Source organism: Homo sapiens, chromosome 5 (assembly GCF_000001405.40).
Source record: "Homo sapiens chromosome 5, GRCh38.p14 Primary Assembly".
NCBI lineage: Eukaryota > Metazoa > Chordata > Mammalia > Primates > Hominidae > Homo > Homo sapiens.
In genome coordinates, this window is record NC_000005.10 from 4,483,358 (window position 1) to 4,491,247 (window position 7,890).

The window sequence follows — 7,890 nt, forward strand, 5'->3', positions numbered from 1 at the left end:
AACAAACAAAAAAAATATACTCGGTCCATCATACTCAAAGTACTCAAATCTACCAATAACACACAGATCCTATAAGCAGGCAAAGAAAAAAGACACAGTATGTACAGAGGAACAAAGATAGGAATGACCACAATTTTCTCATTGAAAATAGTTCAAAAGAAAAACTTCCAACATAAAATGTTCAAGCACAATGAAAACAATGTAAAAGGAAAACTTCCAACATAAAATGCTAAAACACAGGTGAAATAAAGATTTTTCTTACATAAATGGAGATTTTTTACACATGCAATTGATGAGAAGCAGATCCACACTAAAAGCAATCTTACATGCTTTTCGGAGAGAAAAAAGATGTTACCTGAAAACTGTGATTATACACAGAGTAATGGAGAGCACTGAAAATGGGAACTACATGAGTAGCTTATTTTCTTATTATTTAAATCTTTTTAAAAGCCAATTAATTGTTTGTATAACAATAATAACAATGTATCATCATATTTATAATATAAAGTAAACTTGAAATATTTGACAATATGACAACGTAAAAAATTCAATAAAAAGAGAAAAGAGATCTGAGAGTTGAGCAAATAAAATTTTATTATTTTATAAGCTTTTTACATTTTTTATAACATGGTATAATATCACTCAAACTGGGACTGTGATGAGTTAGAGTAATAAGTCAAAATTAAGATAAAAAAGAATCCTTAAAAATAATTAATTATTTCAAATGAAGCCAGAAAAAAAGAAGACAAGAGCAAAAAAGAACAGAGAAAACGATTAGAAAGCAAACAGCAAGATAGTAGATTTAATTTCAAAATGTAATTAAATAAAAATGGTGCAAACATCCAAATTAAGAGGCAGAGATTGTCAAATTTAAAAAATAGAGGCAAACTGTATTTTATCTATAATAAACGCATTTAAAGACTCAATAGATTTTGAAAAAATTTTTAAAAAGTCATGATAACACTAATGAAAAGAAACTGTAATGACTTTACTAATATCAGATAAATATATATACTAGAGAAAATAATATTAGCCCTCTAAGTTAAGTCATTATCAATTATTAAAGAATCAATTTATCTGCCGGGAGCGGTGGCTTACACCTGTAATCCCAGCCCTTTGGAAGTCTGAGGCGGGTGGATAACGAGGTCAGGAGTTCAAGACCAGCATTGCCAAGATGGTGAAACCCCATCTCTACTAAAAATACAAAAATTAGCCGGGTGCGGTGGCAGGCACCTGTAATCCCAGCTACTTGGGAGGCTGAGGCAGGAGAATTGCTTGAAGCCAGGAGGCGGAGGTTGCAGTGAGCCGAGATTGCGCCACTGCACTCCAGCCCGGGTGACAGAGTGATACTCTGCCTCAGAAAAAAAAAAAAAAAGAAAGAAAGAAAAAAGAAAAGAATCAATTTATCAGGAGGACTTAACATTCTGAAACTAATAATGGCGTTTCCAAATATATGAAACAAAAACTGATAGAACCATAGGGAGAAGTAATAAAACCAACAATTGTAGCCCAATATATTAATGCTCCCTCTCAGTGATTAGTGTAACAAGTAGAGAGAAAATCAGTAAGGACACAAAATATTTAAACAATATTAGTCAGCCAACATTAAGCGACATTTCTAGAACATCCTATTCAACAGAAGAATACATTTTGTTCAAGTGCAGAGGAAATATTTACCAAGATGGAGCACATTTTGGGTCATAACAAAAATCTCAATATTCACACAAAGCATTTTCTCTTACTACCGTGGTTCAATTAGAAGTTACTAATAGGAACATCTAGAAAATTCTAAGTATTTGGAAACTAATAACCCACTTCTAAAGAACCTATGCATCAAAGAATACATTAAAAATTAAGAAATTAGAAAGATTTTTGGTGTAAAGAAAAAAATGAACAAATTCAAACTTCTGGGAGGCAGCTAAAGTGGTACATGGCATGGGGAGTGGTGAGATTATAGTAATAGATGTCTCTATTCGAAAGCAAAAAAAAATCTCTTGTCAATAACTTCAGCTTTCTTGTTAAGGAAGAACAAACATGCAGCAACAAAATAAAATAATAGAGGACAGAGCAGACAAATATGAAATAAACACCAAAAAAATCATCCCCAAAATCAAGGAAATCAAATACTTTTTCTTTAAGAAAACCCATATAATTGACATAGACAAAATTTACCAATATCTTGTCTGAGAGGGGTGACATTGGTATAGATTCTTCCTAGAATAATTTTTTATCTCAACAAATGCCTCAAAACAGGCAACTGAAAACAACATGCTAATATTATTATCCATCAGGATTTATTATAAAACTATAGTTATCAAGATAGTGTGGTATTGACATAAACATAGACAGATCAATAGTAAAAAATACAGAGCAAAAACAAATCCTCACATATGACAACTGAGTTTTCACGAAAGTGCAAAGGTAAATCAACAGAGTAAAGATAATCTTTCAACAAATGGTGCTGGGACAAACAGGTTTTCATGTGCAAGGAAATGAAAACAAAACAAAAAATAAAAATTATACATCAATACCATATGCAAAATTTAATTCATAATGAATCATCAGACATAAATGTTAGCTTAAAACTATAAAACTTACACATGATGCCTTCTTCAGTTTCATAAATATTATTTCTTAGAAGGCTTTTTACAACAATGCCTTTTCACTTTTTTCTAAGCATAACCCAGCATTCTCTGAGCACACAAATCTATCATTACATTTCAAGTTATGATTCTGTAATACATCTGAAAGGAGAGCATACTCTCCTTGTGAAAATCTCCTTGTGAAAATATTAAACGTGCTTTGGGATCCAACTTGCAATACTTAACACAAAGAATCTCATCTGCCATTGGCACTTAGTGTAATTACCTTCCACTGTCTTAAAAATTATATTCCCTGACTTTGCCATTGCTTAAAACATCTGTGGCCATTCTTAACAGTTATTATAGTTCTCCATCCTTGACACTATTATACAGTCTACTTAAACCTACTTGCATAATGTAGTTTAATGACACTCGTGAGGCTCTATAAATATGCTAAGTTCTATAAATTTGCTAACCATTGTGTAAAGAAACTTCTCTTGTCCATCTTTATATTTTTCAAAGCCCCTGCAATCCCTCATATTTGCACTTGTTCATGACTTCCAGTATAAATTTATTTTCACAGTTTTTATTTCATTCATGATTGTAAAAAGTTTAATTGTATATATTTTCTTTCCATGATAAAGTCTACTTATAAATCACAATCTCCTTTCCTTCCAAAGAAACTTTAGATCACGAATGGAGGAGTCTACCCTCATATAAGAGATAACATATCACCTTCCTTTGGACCAGATAATGTGTTTTTCTGTTAAATAATATATACTAACTCTGTATGCTCCATGTGCTGATGAAATAAACAACAAAAACAATCCACAAGCCAGCACATGCTCAGGGGCCAAAAGAGGTTGAATGTGGCCATATTCATAAAACACAGATCATGGACATAGTTACCCAGGAGAGGACATGATTTCCACGGATGTAGAACAGGCTGGAAGAGAAGTCCATATCCTTGAGATGACATCTGCACAGAGAATGAAAGCTAAATTCACCTAATCAACATAAAGCCATTTTTTTCGTTTCATTATTTTGACCTTTATATAATTAATGAGTTTGGAGCAATATTGCAAAATCATATACCATTTGATTTATATAGCTCTCATTGCTTAGTTTGGCAGTATGGTGATATGTGAAACTTCTACTCACTTGAATACATCCCTGTATTTACTGTACTATTACATAAAAATGACTAAAACTTCTTCAAACTTCAGGAAGGGACTCCTTTTAATGAATGCACTGCTGATAATTTAATGAATACACACATAAGGTACACCTCAAGTTAAACTATTCAATACACCACAGTATACTGACCTGGGATGAATGTCATTTGAAAGGTTCAAGATGCCATTTCACCCCAACTCACGCAGGCATCCACTGAATTTTGGTGGTGGCAGTAGTTTTGATGGTCATGAAAGCCTGTCCTGCACCAGCATTAACCACAATTGCTGGAGCTGCATTTTGAAGAAAATAATGATGATTGAAAGAGAAATGGAGAATAAGATATCTAATATAGTACATTCAAAATAATGAACTATATTTTTCTTGCAATTTTTAAAGATAATCTTGGTTTATATGAAGAACTGGATAATCAGTTGATCTGCTTCTCAAGGGCTTTTGTTTCTGATTGTCTTCTCCCAATCTGTGGTGGCATTTTTGTTACCAACTTCTAAACACCAAACCCTCAAGATTAAAATGCTATCATCCTCCTAGCAGAAGTTATGCTGCAGTTACCACTGGAGTAACTAGATGAATAGTTTTGGATGAGTAACTAGAAACAAAACGTGGGAGACCACATTTTCAGCAGGTGCCTTGTCATCTCCTGCCTTCTGAGAAACATTCTCTACCAGCTCTCTGTTGTCACTGTCCCAGTCCCAACCCATCGCCTCTGTTGTTTATGCTAATTCTGAACAATCACCTCAAAAATACAACTCTCATTGTATTTCTATCTACTTACAGCTCCCCCATGTCTTCCCATCACCTGAGGATTCCCCATGAGTCAGCTGGTCCAGTGTAATCTCAGGGCCCTAAAAAGTGGAAGAGAGAGGCAGGAGAGAGAGGCAGAGCAATACGATGTGAGAAGGACTCAGTTTGCTGTTTCTAGCTTTAGAGATGGAGGAAAGAGCCATGAGGCAAGGGATATGATGCCCTTTGGACAAAGCCAAGAAATAGATTCTCTTCTAGAGCTTCACAGGAGAAACCCAGCCCACCTTGATTTTGGCTCATTGAAACCTGTGTCATATTGCCCAACTGAGCTGGGGTTTGCTCACCCAACACATGAAAGCCAAACATCCACACTGAGGTTTGCAGCAGTAGAAAGGAGGGTATTTATTTTTAGGGTACTGGACAAGGAGAACCAGGCAGCTCATGCTTAAGACCTAACCAACCCCATGCCTTGCAAGCAAGGGTTTGTAAAGTGAGGAGAAATTTTCAAGAAAGTAGAAATTACAGGCAAAATCACAAATCAATACTTAACAGGCAAAATTGCAAATCAATACCAAACATTGATTTGGCCTAAAAAGGCAGGATATCTTGAAGCTGAATCTTACAGGTAATAGGAAGATTTAACACTTTTCTGATTTTCAATCAGTTAAGGAAAACAAGCTTTGCTTCAAAACTTGGGGTCAGCAGAAAAGAATGTTAGCTTTGGCTCGTGGGTATGACTTCCTCCAGGCCCCTCAGGAAGAAATTTAGAAGAGAACAGTGGTGAGCGTTCAGTCCTCAATCCCCCTTTATCTGAGGTCTCCGTGCCAGCAGATCCTTTTGGTGGGGGTCCATGTAACTCAAGGACATATGTTAAGCTGTTATCTCTGGTTTCTATTGGGAACCAAACATCTCATGGCTCTGCCTTCCTTGGCTGTTGTTTTAGGGGGCCGTTACCTTCTTGCTTATGAAGTCACTCATTTACTCATTTACTTCTCGGGGCCAGCTAGGTGCCTGGAATTTATCTTGAAGGTATTCAAGATTTCCCTTTATTTTTATGCTTGTGGAAAAGGGGTGCTGACCCCTAAAACAGGTCCCTGCTCCACCTCAGGCAGACTTTGGTAATAGAAGTCTAATGCACATGGCTTTGCATTCATTTTTACTGGCAACACCCATTATACTGACAATGGATTTTTCTGTAGCTTGTTGCTCTTCTGCATTAGACTGGCAATTTCCATAAGGGCAGAGACTTTATTCTATTTCCCACTGTAACCCAGTACACAACACACAGCACATGGCAGAGTCTGTTTGTGGAATGATACCAGGGTCTTTATAATCTCTTACTTATTAAACAATTTATCTTAATTTATATATTTTTTATTTTTTTAGAGAGAGGGTCTTCCTCTTTTACCCATGCGGGAGTGCAGTGGCACGATCCAAGCTAACTAGCTTGTAACTCCTGGGCTCAAGTGATCCTCCTGCCTCAGCCTCCCAAGTACTATGTTAATTTATTTAACAAAGTAAACATCATGGCTTAGACTAAAGCATGAAATGATTAAAATGAGAGGATATTAGTTCAAAGTGTGGGGAGGAGGGGCAGTTCTTACTTGGCTTCTACCATTTCCCAGGATTTGGTGCTGTCTGGTTCATTTTAATCCACCGACATAGAGGAGAGACAGGTTCCTGTACTGCATCAGGCCGCTGTGGCAGGGCAGGGCTGCCATTACCTTGGAAAAATGGATTGCAGTTAAGGATAACCATGGTAGAATGAGGGTATGGTCCAGAATCAACCAGAAACTCTTCCCACTGGAAAGTCACAAGCCAGAACTTGGGGAGCGAGGAGGGAGAGTGCCCAAAAGCACAAGGAGGAGAGTGGGCATCTCAGCCCCTGATCAGCACCCCCGAGTCTGCAGGTGTCAGTTGGTTCTCTGCAAGGCATACATCAGTCCTCCCTCCTGAGACGGGGGCTACGTGATGATGTCTATATGTTTCTATTACATTGACTCGAGATTTCTTTAGGCAAATAACTATGAAAAAGTCATCTGACAATTCCAAAAAGAAAAATGCATGAGGTGACTAGGGAGTGGCACCCGTAAGAGTTATTGTTGCACTACACAGACGATTCAGGGCTGGCAGAAAGTGCATTATAGACAGGCAGGGTGGTTCCAGGATGGGTATTAAAAGGGCATCCGCTAAATCTGTCAGCAGGCACTTTCAAGATGTAACACCAAAGAATTATATCAGAAAGGTCACTCAGAGAAATACGAGCGTCACAAAGTTAAGTACATCAAGAGAAGATCAGATCATAGGAAATATCTTTTCTCAAAGCTGAAACGATATATTGCAAAAACGGTAAAGTGAAGCACACGGCGGATATAAAGGGAAATCAAGACGCTGGGAAAAAATAAAATAGAAGCGTAATACAATAGAAGTGAAGCTGTAGAAATCATAAAAGAAATGCTTGGAAACAACAGTGAAACTTATTGAATAAAGTAAAATTTATTCAGAACATTCAGATGGCAAGATTCAGAAAAATAACCCATGGATTGGCATTCTGGCTGATTGCAAGAGGCTGTGAAGAATACGTTTTTTAAAAAATTGTCATATGTTCTCATAGAACACTGTATGAATAATTTAACGGGAATGCCACGATTTAGGAAAAGAGTATTATCAGTGAAATGTTAATGCCATTCTCCAGAATTTGTTTTTTAGGCGATAGTTTGGTTTTAACCAACATAGTTATTTCTATTTGTCACCCCCATGCCAAAAATGGAACAGAAAAATCTGAGGAGAGCCTTACGATGTGAGCTACATTTATGATTTATTATCTCTATATGACTTAGAACCTGCATTACCTGCTAATTGAGATATTCTCGAAGCATCACCTGATTGAGCAGCCTCCAGCTGTGTCTCCTGCACTTTTCCACGGCCCTCAGTAATGTGATTTCCTTGTTGCCCAAGGTGTGTGTGTGTTTGTTCTCATGCACATCATCTCAGGGGCAAAGCACTACTGTAACCACCAGCCTTTCTTGAAGGAGAAAAATGAAAACGATTCTGCATTCACTATAAGTGACATGCCCTTTGTCACCCGTAAGGGGGACAGATGCATACTGGTTAGACGCAGTCCTGTGAATATTCACAAAGGCCACTGTCCGGTGGTGAGGTGCATTCTGAGTTGAGTTTTCATTGTCTCCACTAACAGTTTGGCCATCTGCATAGGTGACCGTCTATCACCCAACCTGGAAAACTGCTCACAGTCATCAGAGCAGAAACACACGTTCTTTACTGCACATCACAAAGAGAAACCTGAAATTAGATGTCAGACTCCTGCATCAAAGATTTTATCTTTGCAACCCTTTGAAAGCGTGGTCAG

The 7,890-nt window shown here is 37.1% G+C and overlaps 1 long non-coding RNA gene across 1 annotated transcript; it reads right to left on the reverse strand.

Annotated features, from left to right (window-relative positions):
* Positions 1-570: 570 nt before the first annotated feature.
* LOC124901169 (uncharacterized) lies at positions 571-7,200 on the reverse strand. The gene is made up of 2 exons (XR_007059108.1): positions 3,909-7,200; positions 571-3,561 (listed from the first exon to the last, which is right to left on the reverse strand). It is a non-coding gene; the product is annotated as an uncharacterized LOC124901169 (long non-coding RNA).
* Positions 7,201-7,890: the final 690 nt, after the last annotated feature.